This window comes from Homo sapiens, chromosome 16 (genome assembly GCF_000001405.40).
Source record: "Homo sapiens chromosome 16, GRCh38.p14 Primary Assembly".
NCBI lineage: Eukaryota > Metazoa > Chordata > Mammalia > Primates > Hominidae > Homo > Homo sapiens.
The window spans coordinates 31,337,355-31,355,160 of NC_000016.10; the positions used below are offsets into that span (position 1 = coordinate 31,337,355).

At 47.8% G+C, this 17,806-nt stretch overlaps 3 annotated features.

The window, feature by feature from the left end:
* Positions 14,524 to 14,673: an enhancer, noted in NCBI's record as "active region_10761". NCBI's record gives its function as "activates an Ori minimal core promoter by ATAC-STARR-seq in GM12878 lymphoblastoid cells {active_cell/tissue: GM12878}" and the evidence as "EXISTENCE:reporter gene assay evidence [ECO:0000049][PMID:35858748]".
* Positions 17,084 to 17,213: an enhancer, noted in NCBI's record as "active region_10762". NCBI's record gives its function as "activates an Ori minimal core promoter by ATAC-STARR-seq in GM12878 lymphoblastoid cells {active_cell/tissue: GM12878}" and the evidence as "EXISTENCE:reporter gene assay evidence [ECO:0000049][PMID:35858748]".
* Positions 17,404 to 17,593: an enhancer, noted in NCBI's record as "active region_10763". NCBI's record gives its function as "activates an Ori minimal core promoter by ATAC-STARR-seq in GM12878 lymphoblastoid cells {active_cell/tissue: GM12878}" and the evidence as "EXISTENCE:reporter gene assay evidence [ECO:0000049][PMID:35858748]".

A 17,806-nucleotide genomic window follows, 5' to 3' on the forward strand; every position in this document is an offset into this window, starting at 1 on the left:
AAGATGGTCACAGGTGCAGTTATGTTTTCTCCATGTGTAGGACCTTCCGTGATGAGCCCATGTGGCTTGGTCTCTAGGGATTTACCCTCCATCTCTGAGAGCACTGTGGGGTGGGTCCTCTCCCTTCATTCCTTCCCACCTGGTGGCAGGATGACCTGATAGAGAAATAGGCTGTGACCTGTCCCCCCTGCAGATGCATGAGAAAGCTGCTAGAAAGGTGCTTCCCTCCCTTTCTGGAGTGATTCTCGAGAGATGTGTGCCCAGATGGTGTGGATTTCCCTTTCCCAGGGAAAACACACAGGCTTTGTTTTTGGAGATTCTTAGCTCATAATCACTTCCAATTCAGAAAAGAGATTCCAAACTCACAGCCTTTGGACCAAATCCAGCTGTCAGGTCTTATTTGACCCACATGGTCTTGTTTGTTTGTTTTTGATTAGTTGCTGACATTTTAAAATTGAGAGATTTCTGAGAGGAATCTGTATTTATAGTTTTTCTTGAAAAATTGGAGGCCAGTGGGGGGTGGAGCCAAGATGGCCAAATAGGAAGAGCTCCAGTATACAGCTCCCAGCGTGAGTGATGCAGAAGATGGGTGATTTCTGCATTTCCAACTGAGGTACCGGGTTCATCTCACTGGGGAGTACCGGAGAGTGGGTGCAGGACAGTGGGTGCAAGACAGTGGGTGCAGTGCACTGTGCATGAGCCGAAGCAGGGTGAGGCATTGCCTCGTCCGGGAAGTGCAAGGGGTCAGGGAATTCCCTTTCCTAGTCAAAGAAAGGGGTGACAGACGGCACCTGGAAAATCGGGTCACTCCCACCCTAATACTGCACTTTTCCAATGGACTTATCAAATGGCACACTGGGAGATTATATCCTGCACCTGGCTCAGAGGGTCCTACACCCATGGAGCCTCACTCATTGCTAGCACAGTAGTCTGAGATCAAACTGCAAGGTGCCAGTGAGGCTGGGGGAGGGGCGCCCGCCATTGCTCAGGCTTGAGTAGGTAAACAAAGTGGCTGGGAAGCTCGAACTGGGTGGAGCCCACCACAGCTCAAGGATGCCTGCCTGCCTCTGTAGGCTCCACCTCTGGGGGCAGGGCACAGACAAAAAAAAGACAGCAATAACCTCTGCAGACTTAAATGTCCCTGTCTGACAGCTTTGAAGAGAGTAGTGGTTCTCCCAGCATGCAGCTTGAGATCTGAGAATAGGCAGACTGCCTCCTCAAGTGGGTCCCTGACCCCCGAGTAGCCTAAATGGGAGGCACCCCCCAGTAGGGGTGGACTGACACCTCACACAGCCAGGTACTCCTCTGAGATAAAACTTCCAGAGGAATGATCAGGCAGCAGCATTTGTGGTTCACCGATATCTGCTGTTCTGCAGCCACTGCTGCTGATACCCAGGCAAACAGGGTATCAGCAGTTTACCTCCAGTAAACTCCAACAGACCTGCAGCTGAAGGTCCTGACTGTTAGAAGGAAAACTAACAAACAGAAAGGACATCCACACCAAAAACCCATATGTACGTCACCATCATCAAAGACCAAAGGTAGATAAAACCACAAAGATGGGGAAAAAACAGAGCAGAAAAGCCAGAAACTCTAAAAATCAGAGCGCCTCTCCTCCTCCAAAGGAACACAGCTCCTCAGCAGCAATGGAACAAAGCTGGACGGAGAATCACTTTGATGAGTTGAGAGAGGTAGGCTGCAGAAGATCAAACTACTCTGAGCTAAAGGAGGAAGTTTGAGCCAATGGCAAAGAAGTTAAAAACTTTGAAAAAAAATTAGACAAATGGATAACTAGAATAATCAATGCAGAGAAGTCCTTAAAGGACCTGATGGAGCTGAAAACCACAGCACGAGAACTACGTGACGAATGCACAAGCCTCAGTAACCGATTCGATCAACTGGAAGAAAGGGTATCAGCGATGGAAGATGAAATGAATGAAATGAAGCGTGAAGAGAAGTTTAGAGAAAAAAGAATAAAAAGAAATGAACAAAGCCTCCAAGAAATATGGGACTATGTGAAAAGACCAAATCTACATCTCATTGGTGTACCTGAAAGTGACAGGGAGAATGGAACCAAGTTGGAAAACACTCTGCAGGATATTATCCAGGAGAACTTCCCCAATCTAGCAAGGCAGGCCAACATTCAAATTCAGGAAATACAGAGAATGCCACAAAGATACTCCTCAAGAAGAGCAACTCCAAGACACATAATTGTCAGGTTCACCAAAGTTGAAATGAAGGAAAATATGTTAAGGGCAGCCAGAGAGAAAGGTCGGGTTACCCACAAAGGGAAACCCATCAGACTAACAGCTGATCTCTTGGCAGAAACTCTACAAGCCAGAAGAGAGTGGGGGCCAATATTCAACATTCTTAAAGGAAAGAATTTTCAACCCAGAATTTCATATCCAGCCAAACTAAGCTTCATAAGTGAAGGAGAAATAAAATACTTTACAGACAAACAAATGCTGAGAGATTTTGTCACCACCAGGCCTGCCCTAAAAGAGCTCCTGAAGGAAGCACTAAACATGGAAAGGAACAACCGGTACCAGCCACTGCAAAAACATGCCAAATTGTGAAGACCATGAAGGCTAGGAAGAAACTGCATCAACTAATGAGCAAAATAACCAGCTAACATCATAATGACAGGATCTAATTCACACATAACAATACTAACCTTAAATGTAAATGGGCTCAATGCTCAATTAAAAGGCACAGACTGGCAAATTGGATAAAGAGTCAAGACCCATCAGTATGCTGTATTCAGGAAACCCATCTCAAGTGCAGAGACACACATAGGCTCAAAATAAAGGGATGGAGGAAGATCTACCAAGCAAATGGAAAACAAAAAAAGGCAGGGGTTGCAATCCTAGTCTCGGGTAAAACAGTCTTTAAACCAACAAAGATCAAAAGAGACAAAGAAGGCCATTACATAATGGTAAAGGGATCAATTCAACAAGAAGAACTAACTATCCTAAATATATATGCACCCAATACAGGAGCACCCAGATTCATAAAGCAAGTCCTTAGTGACCTACAAAGAGACTTAGACTCCCACACAATAATAATGGGAGACTTTAACACCCCACTGTCAACATTAGACAGATCAACGAGACAGAAAGTTAACAAGGATATCCAGGAATTGAACTCAGCTCTGCACCAAGCGGACCTAATAGACATCTACAAAACTCTCCACCCCAAATCAACAGAATATACATTCTTTTCAACACCACACCACACCTATTCCAAAACTGACCACATAGTTGGAAGTAAAGCACTCCTCAGCAAATGTAAAAGAACAGAAATTATAACAAACTGTCTCTCGGACCACAGTGCAATCAAACTAGAACTCAGGGTGAAGAAACTCACTCAAAACCGCTCAACTACATGGAAACTGAACAACCTGCTCCTGAAGGACTACTGGGTACATAACAAAATGAAGGCAGAAATAAAGATGTTCTTTGAAACCAATGAGAACAAAGACACAACATACCAAAATCTCTGGGACACATTCAAAGTAGTGTGTAGAGGGAAATTTATAGCACTAAATGCCCATAAGAGAAAGCAGGAAAGATCTAAAATTGACACCCTAACATGGCAATTAAAAGAACTAGAGAAGCAAGGGCAAACACATTCAAAAGCTAGCAGAAGGCAAGAAATAACTAAGATTAGAGCAGAACTGAAGGAAATAGAGACACAAAAAACCCTTCAAAAAATTAATGAATCCAGGAGCTGGTTTTTTTGAAAAGATCAACAAAATTGATAGAGCCCTAGCAAGACTAATAAAGAAGAAAAGAGAGAAGAATCAAATAGATGCAATACAAAAATGACAAAGGGGATATCACCACCAATCCCACAGAAATACAAACTACCATCAGAGAATACTATAAACACCTCTACGCAAATAAACTAGAAAATCTAGAAGAAGTGGATAAATTCCTCGACACATACACTCTCCCAAGACTAAACCAGGAAGAAGTTGAATCTCTGAATAGACCAATAACAGGCTCTGAAATTGAGGCGATAATTAATAGCTTACCAACCAAAAAAAGTCCAGGACCAGATGGATTCACAGCCGAATTCTACCAGAGGTACAAGGAGGAGATGGTACCATTCCTTCTGAAACTCTTCCAATCAATAGAAAAAGAGGGAATCCTCCCTAACTCATTTTATCAGGCCAGCATCATCCTGAGACCAAAGCCTGGAAGAGACACAACAAAAAAAGAGAATTTTAGACCAATATCCTTGATGAACATTGATGCAAAAATCCTCAATAAAATACTGGCAAACCGAATCCAGCAACACATCAAAAAGCTTATCCACCATGATCAAGTGGGCTTCATCCCTGGGATGCAAGGCTGGTTCAACATACGAAAATCAATAAACGTAATCCAGCATATAAACAGAACCAAAGACAAAAACCACATGATTGTCTCAATAGATGCAGAAAAGGCCTTTGACAAAATTCAACAACCCTTCATGCTAAAAACTCTCCATAAATTAGGTACTGATAGGACATATCTCAAAATAATAAGAGCTATCTATGACAAACCCACAGCCAATATCATACTGAATGGACAAAAACTGGAAGCATTCCCTTTGAAAACTGGCACAAGACAGGAATGCCCTCTCTCACCACTCCTATTCAACATAGTGTTGGAAGTTCTGGCCAGGGCAATCAGGCAGCAGAAGGGAATAAAGGGCATTCGATTAGGAAAAGAGGAAGTCAAATTGTCCCTGTTTGCAGATGACATGATTGTATATCTAGAAAACCCCATCGTCTCAGCCCAAAATGTCCTTAAGCTGATAAGCAACTTCAGCAAAGTCTCAGCATACAAAATCAATGTGCAAAAATCACAAGCATTCTTATACACCAATAACAGACAAACAGAGAGCCAAATCATGAGTGAACTCCCATTTACAATTGCTTCAAAGAGAATAAAATACCTAGGAATCCAACTTACAAAGGATGTGAAGGACCTCTTGAAGGAGAACTACAAACCACTGCTCAATGAAATAAAAGAGGATACAAACAAATGGAAGAACATTCCATGCTCATGGGTAGGAAGAATCAATATCATGAAAATGGCCATACTGGCCAAGGTAATTTATAGATTCAATGCCATCCCCATCAAGCTACCAATGACTTTCTTCACAGAATTGGAAAAAACTACTTTAAAGTTCATATGGAACCAAAAAAGAGCCCACATTGCCAAGTCAATCCTAAGCCAAAAGAACAAAGCTAGAGGCATCACGCTACCCGACTTCAAACTATACCACCAGGCTACAGTAACCAAAACAGCATGGTACTGGTACCAAAACAGAAATATAGACCAATGGAACAGAACAGAGCCCTCAGAAGTAATGCCGCATATCTACAACTATCTGATCTTTGACAAACCTGACAAAAACAAGCAATGGGGAAAGGATTCCCTATTTAATAAATGGTGCTGGGAAAACTGGCTAGCCACATGTAGAAAGCTGAAACTGGATCCCTTCCTTACACCTTATACAAAAATTAATTCAAGATAGTTTAAAGACTTACATGTTAGTCCTAAAACCATAAAAACCCTAGAAGAAAACCTAGGCAATACCATTCAGGACACAGGCATGGGCAAGGACTTCAAGTCTAAAACACCAAAAGCAATGGCAACAAAAGCCAAAATTGACAAATGGGATCTAATTAAACTAAGAAGATTCTGCACAGCAAAAGAAACCACCATCAGAGTGAACAGGCAACCTACTGAATGGGAGAAAATTTTTGCAAGCTACTCATCTGACAAAGGGCTAATATCCAGAATCTACAATGAACTCAAACAAATTTACAAGAAAAAAAGAAACAACTCCATCAAAAAGTGGGCGAAGGATATGAACAGACACTTCTCAAAAGAAGACATTTATGCAGCCAAAAGACACACGAAAAAATGCTCATCATCACTGGCCATCAGACAAATGCAAATCAAAACCACAATGAGATACCATCTCACACCAGTTAGAATGGCGATCCTTAAAAAGTCAGGAAACAACAGGTGCTGGAGAGGATGTGGAGAAATAGGAACACTTTTACATTGTTGGTGGGACTGTAAACTAGTTCAACCATTGTGGAAGTCGGTATGGTGATTCCTCAGGGATCTAGAACTAGAAATACCGTTTGACCCAGCCATGCCATTACTGGGTATATATCCAAAGGATTATAAATCATGCTGCTATAAAGACCCATGCACACGTATGTTTATTGCGGCACTATTCACAATAGCAAAGACTAGGAACCAACCCAAATGTCCAACAATGATAGACTGGATTAAGAAAATGTGGCACATATACACCACGGAATACTATGCAGCCATAAAAAATGATGAGTTCATGTCCTTTGTAGGGACATGGATGAAGCTGGAAACCATCATTCTCAGCAAACTATCGCAAGGACAAAAAACCAAATACCGCATGTTCTCACTCATAGGTGGGAATTGAACAATGAGAACACATGGACACAGGAAGGGGAACATCACACACCGGGGCCTGTTGTGGGGTGGGGGGAGGGGGGAGGGATAGCATTAGGAGATATACCTAATGCTAAATGACGAGTTAATGGGTGCAGCACACCAACATGGCACATGTATACATACGTAACAAACCTGCATGTTGTGCATATGTAACCTAAAACTTAAAGTATAATAATAATAATAATAAAAAAAGAAAAATTGGAGGCCAGTCATGGTGGTGCAGTTCTGTAATCCCAGCATTTGGGAGGCCAAAGGGGGCAGATTGCTTGAGCCCAGGAGTTCAAGACCAGCCTGAGCAACATAGCAAGACCTGTCTCTTAAAAAAAAAAAAAAAAAAAAGGGCCAGGTTCAGTGGCTCACACCTGTAATCCCAGCACTTTGGGAGGCTGAGGCTGGTGGATCGCCTGAGGTCAGGAGTTCGAGACCAGCCTGGCCAACATGTCAAAACCTCATCTCTACTAAAAGTACAAAAAATTAGCTGCGAGTGGTGGCGGGTGTCTGTAATCCCAGCTACTCAGGAGACTGAAGCAGAAGAACCGCTTGAACCCAGGAGGCGAGGGCTGTAGTAAGCCAAGATCACACCATTGTACTCTAGCTTGGGCAACAAGAGTGAAACTCCATCTCAAAATAATAATAATAATTAGCCAGGTGTGCTGGTGCACACCTGCGGTCTCAGCTACTCAGGAGGCTGAGGTGGGAGGATTGCTTGAGCCCAGGAGGTCAGTGCTGCAGTGAGCTATGATGGCACCACTGCACTCCAGCTTGGACAACATAACAATACCCTGCCTCAAAGGAAAAAGAAAAAAAAGAAAGAAAAAGAAAAACTGAAACGTTTGGCAATATGAGGCTGCAACAGAACTGCCCTATTAGGCAGGACACGGCTCTCCAATCACTCTGGTCCCCTGACTCCACATAGCACTCTGGCCTCTGAGCCTGGGCAGTTGTTTTTGAGGTGACCTTTGAGACCCTGGCTTCCTCTGTAGCTCAGCTTCTGCTCCGGCCCACCCCTCCCTCTTGAACCTCACATTTCCGAGGTGAGCCACACTTTGGTTGACCAACACGCTTCTGAAAGTGAAAGGCATTGTGATTAGTAATTACCGGAGAAGCCCGGCTTCAACATGGCCTATCTGGGAAGGTCGGGACCTGTCCGCGTTCCCCTAACTCCCTTTCACCTCTCAACCTTTGCCTATGCTGTATCCTCTGCCCAGAACTCACTTCCTTTTCTTGTTCACCTGACCCCTGCCTCAGCTGAAGTGATCTTCCTCCAGATCCTCTTGATCCCCCAGCTGGGAGAAGTTCTGCCTCTCACTTGCTGCCATGGCAACCTGCATTTCTTTTCCTGGAGACTGTACATTCCCAGGGGACAGGAAGCCCCATCACACCCCTAGACCCTAGGACAATACCCAGAACATGTAACAAACAATTGCTGAGAGAGGGAATGAATGAATGAACAGGCCTGGGTTTCCCCAGCTTCCTATTCTCTGTGCACTCTTGAAGGAGAGACAGCTCTCAGACATCCCTTTCCCTTCATCCTAACACATCTTCAGGACCATATAGTATCCAACTGGGCCACTTCACATTTTTCTTTCTTTCTTTTTTTTTTTTTTTTTTTTGAGACAGGGTCTTTCTCTTTCATCCAGGCTGAGTGCAGTGGTGCGATCATAGCTCACTGCATACTTGATCTCCCAGGCTCAAGGGATCCTCCTGCTTCAGCCTCCTGAGTGGTTGGGACTACAGGCCCACATTACTGTGCTAGCCTAATTATTTATTTATTTTTTTGAGACGGAGTCTTGCTCTGTCATCCAGGCTGGAGTGCAATGGCACGATCTCAGCTCACTGCAACCTCCGCCTCCTGGGTTCAAGCAATTCTCCTTCCTCAGCTTCCTGAGTAGCTGGGATTATAGGCACCCGCTACCACGCCTGGCTAATTTTTGTATTTTTAGTAGAGACGGGGTTTCACCATGTTGGTCAGGCTGGTCTTGAACTCCTGACCTCGTGATTTGCCCACCTCAGCCTCCCAAAGTGCTGGCATTGCAGGTGTGAGCCACCGTGCCCAGCCAGTACTAGCCTAATTTTTAAATTTTTGTAAAGTCAGGGTCTTGCTGTGTTGCCCAGGCTGGTCTTGAGCTCCTGAGCTCAAGTGATCCTCCTGCTTCTGCCTCCCAAAGTGCTGGGATTACAGGCATGAGCCACCGCACCTGGCATACTTCACATTTTCTAGAGTCCAAGAGACTGAATATACAAAGGGATAGTGGTCAGACTAGACATAAAAATAGACATCTGCCCCCCAGCCTGCAGCAACCAGCCCAGGAAGCCTATCAATAACTAACAATCAGCCCCATGTCCAGGACTTAATCAATAACTGATGGCTTCCCTAATTTTTGTCCCTACTTCCAACTTAGGACCAACCAGACAAAGCCAAATATGTCCCCTAGTCAATTGCACAGGATGCCCGCTTCCAGTGAGCCACATACAGCTTCCCAGGCCAGCAGCTTCTACTTGGGGCATCCCTGAAGACTTCCCAGTTTCCACTACAAAGCTTTCCTACTGTACTGCCCATTTTTGAGTCTCTGCCAAAACACCAGTGATGGCCACTGACTCCCTTGCTAGAGCCAGCTTTGAATAAATAGACTTCGCCTGTTCTCATTTGGTTGGTCTTTGTGTCTTTCCGCAATCCTCTGGTCCAGCTACTGTGATAAATAGATCAATAGAGCAATTTCCTTTCTGCTTCCTCTGTGGGCATTCCCATCTTGGCGCAGACTTGAACAATTGCTAAAATCCTTCCCCTTATCTGCCCCCTATGCCCCACTGCCATTAAAGGATAAGATCCCTCTGCAGGCTGGGCTGAGTGAATGTGAACGGAATGCATTGGTTGCCAAGTTCTGCCATATACGCATTTGCCTGTTGAGACCAATCCTGCTACCATGCCAGGGCCAGGAGAGAGAAGCTGAGTGGGATGACCCTGCCTTACTCCTCCTCTTTGGAATTCTCCCTCTCTTAATTCACACAGGCATCTCCAGCCCAGCCCCTCCCAGGCACGGCCCCACTGGTTCAAGTTCTCACAGAGACCCTGGATTTCTGCCCTGTTCTGTTCTCTCACCCCACCTTCCTAGGGATTCTCTCACTCCCTCCTTTTACCCTAAAAAGGGATTAAGATGAAATCATTCTGTGGTCACTAGATGTTGTCTGTGCCTGAGACTGAGCGTGGATCCGTTTCAGAGGCCTGCTGGGTTCCCCTACACATGGAAATAAAGAAAAATCTTGAGTTTCTTCAAGGAGAATTCCAGGCACCTTGCTAATCTGGAGAAGTATATGAGCAGCCCGGTAAGCAAGAAGATAACAGTCACTTCAAACAATAGCCAAGGAAGTGAGAGCCACAAGATGTGTGGTTCCCCAGAAAACCAAGGGTTTTAACGTACATCCCTGAGTTGTTTTTCAGAAACCTGGACCCCCACTGTATTAGTCCGTTCTTGCATTGCTACAAAGAACTTCCTGAGACCGGGTAATTTATAAAGAAAGGAGATTTAATTGGCTAATGGTTCCTCAGGCATTATAAGAAGCATGGATGGGGAGGCCTCAGGAAACTTACAGTCATGGTGGAAGGCGAAGAGGAAGGAGTCATGTCTTACACGGCTGGAGAAGGAAAGAAGACAGACCAGGGCGAGGTGCTACACACTTTTAAACAACCAGATCTTGTGATGACTCACTCACTATCACGAGAACAGCAAGGGAGAAATCCGCACCCATGGTCCAATCACCTCCCACCAGGCCCCTCCTCCAACACTGCAGATTATAATCCAACATGAGATTTGAGTGGGGACACAAATCCAAACCATATCACCCCCAGATGGAAAATGCCATCTGCTGGTATGTAGGCCACTGATAAGGAGGAAGTGAAGACTGAACTCTGATCACTATTCTTTGCTCTAAATTTCTTCCTGAGGGCCCTGGAGAGACAGTCACTCCCATAGGCCAGACCTTAATATTCCTTCCTGCTGACCCCAAGTTTTTAGATGAAGCTTTCCTTCCTTAACCAATTGCAAATCAAAGAATCTTTGAACCCATGTATGACTTGTAAGCCTTGCTTCAAGATATCCTGGCTTTTTAGGCCAAACTAATGTATAACCTCCAGGTATTGGTTTATGATTTTGCCTGTAACTTCTGCTTTCCTGAAATGTACCTCGCCCTTAAAAACTCTTGCTTGGAGGGTTAACATTGGGTTAACACCAATTTCTCAGTTGCTGTGTTGATGCTCAAGGCTCACAAGTGCCCCCAATCTCTGGGGAATGGTCTTGCCTGCAGGGGAGTAGCCCCTTCTTCTGTGTGGCAGTGGGATAAGCTAGAGGAAGTGGGGAAGAATGGCTGGTGGTCAATGACTGACCCACCCGGGGAGAACCAAGGGCCACACTTCAGCCTCAAGGAAGGACCCATTCATGCTCACAGCTTCCGGGGACCAGGCTGGAGTCAGGGTCAGGGGAGAGCTCCTTGTCACTTAGCCTCTTTCCCCACTCTATCCTGCTTTCTTCTCCTTGTCTCTCCAATGATGGGCATTGGACACTGAGCAGATACAACCAGGGGTCAGTTCCTGTCTGTGGGTGTAGGACGGATGGGTGATGGGAGGGTGGATGGGTTTGTGTGTGGACAAGTGGACGGATGGAAGGATGGGGTGGAGGGTGGATGGGCAGATGGGTGGGTGGATGGGTGAACAGGTGGATGGGTGGGTGGAGGGAAGCCTCCACCTTCAAATGGAAGCCTTCAAATGGAAGGTGTGGGTGTTGTCACCAACACTGCAAACCCAAGCCCCCTTCTGTGACCACCTCTTTTCTATAATCTTTCCTCTTCTCTCCCTTCTTCCCCAGTTTCTCAGTGACTTGTCTTCACTTCCCCTTTTCTCCTGTGTGTCTATTTCACTGAATTTAAATACAAATTAAATCCATATTCTTCTCATTCTGGTGAAATCGCTTGCCAGTGTGGGAGTCTGAGCAGGGACAGCCCTCATTTCTCCCGGGGCTTTGCCAGCAGGAGCTCCTTCCTCCCTCTTCCCTTTGCTCATGACCCAGCATTTCCCTGTCTGCCAGGGATGCGTTGCCCACATTCCCCAACTTCTCATTGATTTCCTCTGCTTGACTTGTTTCCTGTTGCCTGTTACTCAAGTTAAATCCTTGTTTTATTCTAAATTTACACCAATTCAAGTTAGTTTACCTCTTAGGCGACTCTTGCTTTGCTCCAGGCGGCTTCTGATTCATGCAATTATTGAGCAGGTCTGCAGGTGAGGGGGCTGAGCATTTGGTCCATTTGCTTCAAACCTGTGCAGTCTCTTCTTCACCCACCCATCTACCCATCCACTTACCACCCCATCATTCCATCCATTCACCTGTTCACCCACCCATCTACCCATTTACCCATCCACGCACCACTGCATCCTTCCGCCTATCCACCTGTTCACCCACCCACCCACCCATCTACCCTTCCACCCATCCACTTGTTCACCCACCCATCTACCGATCCACCCACCACCCCATCCTTCCACCCATCCACCTGTTCACCCACCCACCCACCCACCCACACATTTGCCCATCCACCCTCCACCCCATCCTTTCATCCATCCACCTGTCCACACACAAACCTATCCACCCTCCTGTCACCCATCCATCCTACACCCACAGACAGGAACTGACCCCTGGTTGTATCTGCTCGGTGTCCAATGCCCATTGTTAGAGAGACAAGGAGAAGTGAGATGCAGTATCTCCCTTCAATGAACTCTCATCTAGAGAGTGTCATCTTTTATCCTTCACTGAGAAAGACTGATTATTAACTTCCCCTCCCCCACCCTCAGCTTAGAACCATTGCAGCAAATGCTCTTTCCCAGGCACATAACTGAGCCGCAATCGTGACTGGGACTGGAACTATCAGATCCTTGTGTTGCCTGGATAACATTCTGCCATTCTTTCACTTCATTCATGCACCAAGTATGGACTGTGTGCCTCCCATGTATCAGGCATTGTGTGAAGAACTGGGGATAAAAGGGTTAAAACTGCTGGGCGTGGTGGCTCACACCTGTAATCTCAACACTTTGGGAGGCTGAGGTGGTGGGGGTGATTGCCTAAGGCCAGGAGTTCAAGACCAGCCTGGGCAACATAGCAAGGCCCCCAACTTCACAAAACATTTAAAAATTAGCTAGGCATGGTGGTGCATACCTGTAGTCCCAGCTACTTAAGAGGCTGAATTGGGAGGATCACTTGAGCCCTGGAGGTTGAGGCTGCAGTGAACTCTGATCACACCACTGCACTCCAGCCTGGGTGACAGAGTAAGACTTTGTTTCTGAAAAACAAAACAATAAAAGAAATGTTAGAAGGACACGGCCCCAGTGTGTGGAAGCCAGCAGTCCCTGCCCAGCCCCTGGAGCACCAGGCACTGCCTAATTCATCTCAAGCCTCTCCCTCTGCGATTCATCAAGCAGAGTCACTGTGCTGTCTAGTAAAACTTCTGGGGTGTAATCTCCTTCTGGGGTGTGACTCCTTGAGGGCTGAGACCCTTTCCTGTTTGTCTTGCTTCTCACAGTGGCCAGCCCAGAGCCTATGTCATGTGGGCAGCCCATGCGTGTGGGATGAGTGGTTGAGGGAACAAATATGACACAGGCAGCGTTTAGGGCAGAGAGGAGGAAGTAAAGTCATTAGCCAAATAGTCAAGACTCCAGCACCTTGAGTCCTGTCCTCAGCCCACACTAGCTGGGTGACCTGAGGAGGATGACCCAACTTCTCAGGGCCTCAGTTTTGCATCTGTGAAACAGGGGTGACAGCAGTCCCCGTCGCGGGGCTGCTGTGAGGGTTCAATTAGCTAGTATAAATAAAGTGCAATAGCAAAGACGTAGAATCAACCTGGGTGCCCATCCGTGGTGGATTGGTTAAAGAAAACGTGCTACACACACCACGGAATACTATGCAGCCATGAAAAAGAATGAAATCACGTCCTTTGCTGCAACATGGATGCAGCTGGAGGTCATAGTCCTAAGTGAATTAATGCAGGAACAGAAAACTAAATACTGCACATTCTCATTTGTAAGTGGGAGCTGAACGTTGGGTACACATGTACATAAAGATGGGAACAACAGACACTGGGGTCTCCAGAAGGGGAGAGGGAGGGAAGGGAGCAAGGGCTGCAAAACCACCTATCAGGCACTCTGCTCACTATTTGGGTGACAGGATCAACAGAAGTGCAAACCTCAGCACCCCGCAATATACCTGTGTAATAGACCTGCACATGTACCTGCTGAATCTAAAATTTTAAAAAAGAAGCTGAGTGAGATGGCTCATGCCTGTAATCCCATCACTTTGGGAGGCCAAGGCAGGTGGATCGCCTGAGGCCAGGAGTTCAAGACCAGCCTGAGAAACCCCATCTCTACTAAAAAAATAAATAAAATAAAAAGGAGAGAAGAAAAAAATTGTTTTTACTAAGAAAATAAATAAAGTGCATGGTGCTATAAATGTCATCATGGCAGCTCCTGTGTCGGCCGCCCGATATCACTATCCCATGCCCGCTTCTTCTTTCCACCTCCTGAGCTTCCCAGACAGTGCTCCCAAACTGTCACCACACCGGAACGCCACGCCTTCAGGGTGGGTTTTTGGAGCAGAGCGTCTTCCCGAGTACCTCTGTATTTGTGTATTTTTACACTTTAGAATTAAAATAAATTGTATTTTAAGAAAATGTGGGGGTACAACAGGGATTGTCCTTCAAAGAGAGAAGTGAGAGTGACTGCAGGCAGGGAGAGGAAGGGCAGAAACTTTAGGGTAACTCCACTCGGGCCCCGTGGGTGAAGATGGGGCGGAAACGGACCCAGAAATCCGAGGGTTTCTGCCCACCAGGTTTCTGTTCTCTTCTTTCCACAGAAAACAAAGGACACAGGAGACAGACCCCAAATTTTTCAGTTTCACTTAGGCAAATCAGATCCGAATTAAGGCAGCAGCGTCCGATCTGGTTTCTCCATGTCCACCTCCTCCCCTGTTTGTGCCAGAACCACACCCCCCTGACCTGCTGCCCTGCTGGAACCTTTTTAAACCAGCGCTCCTGGGTTCAGGGACGGAGCAGGGATGGTGAGGATCAGCCCAAGACAGGCTAGCTGCTCTCCAGACTCCCCCAGACCCTCCCTCTGCCCTTGACCTCTTGCCATGGGCTCAGCCTGGGCTCTGAGCACCCCAGGAGGCTAGACGGGGAGCTGGGCTCTGCTGACTCAGGGTCCCACGGGGCTGAGGAGATGGGTGACGGGCAGCACCCTCCTTCCTCACTTACATCATTTCCCCAGCGCCATCCTTTCTCTGGAAACATCATAGTCATGATTCACTGAAGTGGGGCTATGAGTTTTAGACACCCTGAGTTCCAGGCTGCAGTCACACGGCTCTCATTTGTAAAAGGGGTGGGTTGAGTTGAGGACACGTCCTGTCTTCCTCTTTGCTGAGCCTGAGTTGTCTGTTCTAAAAGCGAGTGGTCTCACCATGGCTTTCTTCCAATTCGAGTTCACCTTGGCTGAGCCCGGGGCACCGTGGAAGTCGGTGGGCAGCTTGAGAGGAGACGGGGTCTTTCATATGTCCAGGGTCCTCCTCTCCTGCCTCCTCCGCCAGAGGTGGACCTCAACCCGGGGAAAGGGGGTGTCCTGAAGGCTGGGATTGTGGCCTCCTCGAAGGCGAGGGCTCTCTGGCCCTCACCCTGCCCACAAGACCAGCCCTGCATCCCCAATTGCCAGTTCCTCTTCTATCCTCTCCAGACCCTGCACTACTTCCTCTTTTGGGGGGATTTTCTGTTGCTGTCTCCTTCTTGGCGTTCAACCCTCCATCTTCTCTCTCTGTAGTTTTCTTTGTCTCCCCCTTTCTCCAGGGCCCTCTCCTACCCACGCGGCTTGGAAGTGTGTCCGAGGCTGTCACTCCAGGTGACAGCACTGCCGCCTTCCTCACGCCGGCCCCTCCTCTGCCCATGCCAGCCTGGCCTTCCCGCCGCCCCAGCATGGCCCACTCCTGGGTCTCTGATGGCCTCTGTGACCAGAGCCGGGGACCTCCTCATCTCCTGCCTCACTGGATGTCTGGCAGGCTGTGCCATGGTTCATGTCCCCTGTCCGGCCTGCCCGTCTCTCTCCCAGCCTCCTCCTGCCTCTCTGTGGGGCCTCCTCAGTCTTCAGCATCTCCTGCTCTGCGGCCACCGCTGCTGTTTCCATGGCCTGCATGCTCCTCCCTCATCACACTCTCACCAGGACCTTGCCCAGCACTTCTGCTGATGGGCCCAGAATCCAGGCTGTTCCTGAGGTCCAGACCCACACACCCAGCTACCTCCGACCTCTCTCTCGGAGGCTCCACAGATGCCCTCTTCCCACCAGGACAGCTGTCACAGCACAGCAATGATCACAGCTGCCAGCCCAGGTTTCTACCCACTCTCCCGAGCCCTCCACACTACTCAACTCTCCCAGCAACAACAGGGGGTGTGGACTTTCATGATCACTCCCATTTTGCAGATGAGGAAACTGAGGCACAAAGAGGTTGAAATAGTCCAAGCTCTTAAACACTGCACTCTGGTTTCCTCAAAACTGAGGTTGGCCTAACCCCTATCCTTCCTCCTCCATCACCTTCGTCCTCCCTGCAGCGACCGATCAGCCTCCAGCCCATCCCCACAGCCACCAGCCCACCCCAAAGACCCCCAACATCTCTCTCCTGACAAATCAGTCTCCAGCTGCTTCCCAAAGAAACCATGCCCCGGCCGGGCGCGGTGGCTCACGCCTGTAATCCCAGCACTTTGGGAGGCTGAGGCGGGCGGATCACGAGGTCAGGAGATCGAGACCATCCCGGCTAAAACGGTGAAACCCCGTCTCTACTAAAAATACAAAAAATTAGCCGGGCATAGTGGCGGGCGCCTGTAGTCCCAGCTACTTGGGAGGCTGAGGCAGGAGAATGGCGTGAACCCGGGAGGCGGAGCTTGCAGTGAGCCGAGATCCCGCCACTGCACTCCAGCCTGGGCGACAGAGCGAGACTCCGTCTCAAAAAAAAAAAAAAAAAAAAAAAAAAAGAAACCATGCCCCCATATAACCCACTTTCTAAAATGAAAATGTGAAGATCTCAGTCCCCATGAATTCCCTTCAATGCTGTCCTCCACTCTCAGGACAAAATCAATGTGTCTTCACCAGGTGTGGTGGCTCACACCTGTGATCCCAGCAATTTAGGAGGCTGAGGCAGGAGGATTGATTGAGATCAGGAGTTTGAGACCAGCCTGGCCAACATGGGGAAACTCTGTCTCTACTAAAATTAAAAAATATATATATATAAATATATATATATATTCAGGTGCAGTGGTGCAATCCTATAGTCCTGGCTACTCAGGAGGCTGAGGCAGGAGGATCCCTTGGGCCCAGGAGTTCGAAGCAGCAGTGAACTATGCACCCACTGCACTCCAGCCTGGGTGGCAGAGCAAGACCCTGTTTCTGAAATTAAAAAAAAAAATTGATGTACATTAGGGGGGCTTCCACGGCCTGAGGCCTGCTTCCCCTTGCTTTCCTCCCAGTGGCCCTGACCTTGTCTCTTACAACTTCCCACCCTGACTGTCTGGTTCCCATTGCTGATTTCACACACAGACCCTCCTGTCCCCTGCCTCATCCATGTCTGGCTGCTCTGTCATCTCCCAACTTTGGTTGCTTTCAATGCTCAGCTCAAGCACCACCTCTTTCAGGAAGCCTTCTCAGAAAGCCACACCTTCACAACCCGGGTGAGGCACCCTGTGGTCTCTGTGCTTCCCCCTCACAGCAATGAACTTGCTGTTTATACATCTGCCTCTCCACTGACCCCAGGGCTGGTGCTTTGTGGTTTATATTTTCTTCCCCACCTAGCAGAGGGCTTGCATCTCCAGGCTCAAATTAGGCTTCTTGAATAAATGATGAATAAATGAGTGAATGAATGAATGAACAAATACTCGCTCTGTGCTCCTCCTAGGGACCCGGATGCCCCACTCCTTGGCCCAGACTTTCCAGGTCAGAGTGGAGGGCTCCCACCAGGGTTTCCTTTAGGGTCCTGAGGGGTTGGCATCTGCCCAAACCCCCTCCAGTCTGGCTGAAATTTCAAGGTCAAGGGGTGCCTTCTGGCAGTCAAGGGTGAGCCTGGGAGGGGCAGGGCAGGGATTTGCATCCATCTAAGCAAAGGGCATCAAGCCAAGTCATCTGATGAGAGTGACTCCGGTTGGGGGGTGGGGGCGTGTGGGAGGCCGAGCCTGTCCTCGGATCAGTTGCGTACTCTGCCCGCCCCCTCTGACTCATGCTGACAATCTTCTTCCTTCCCCTG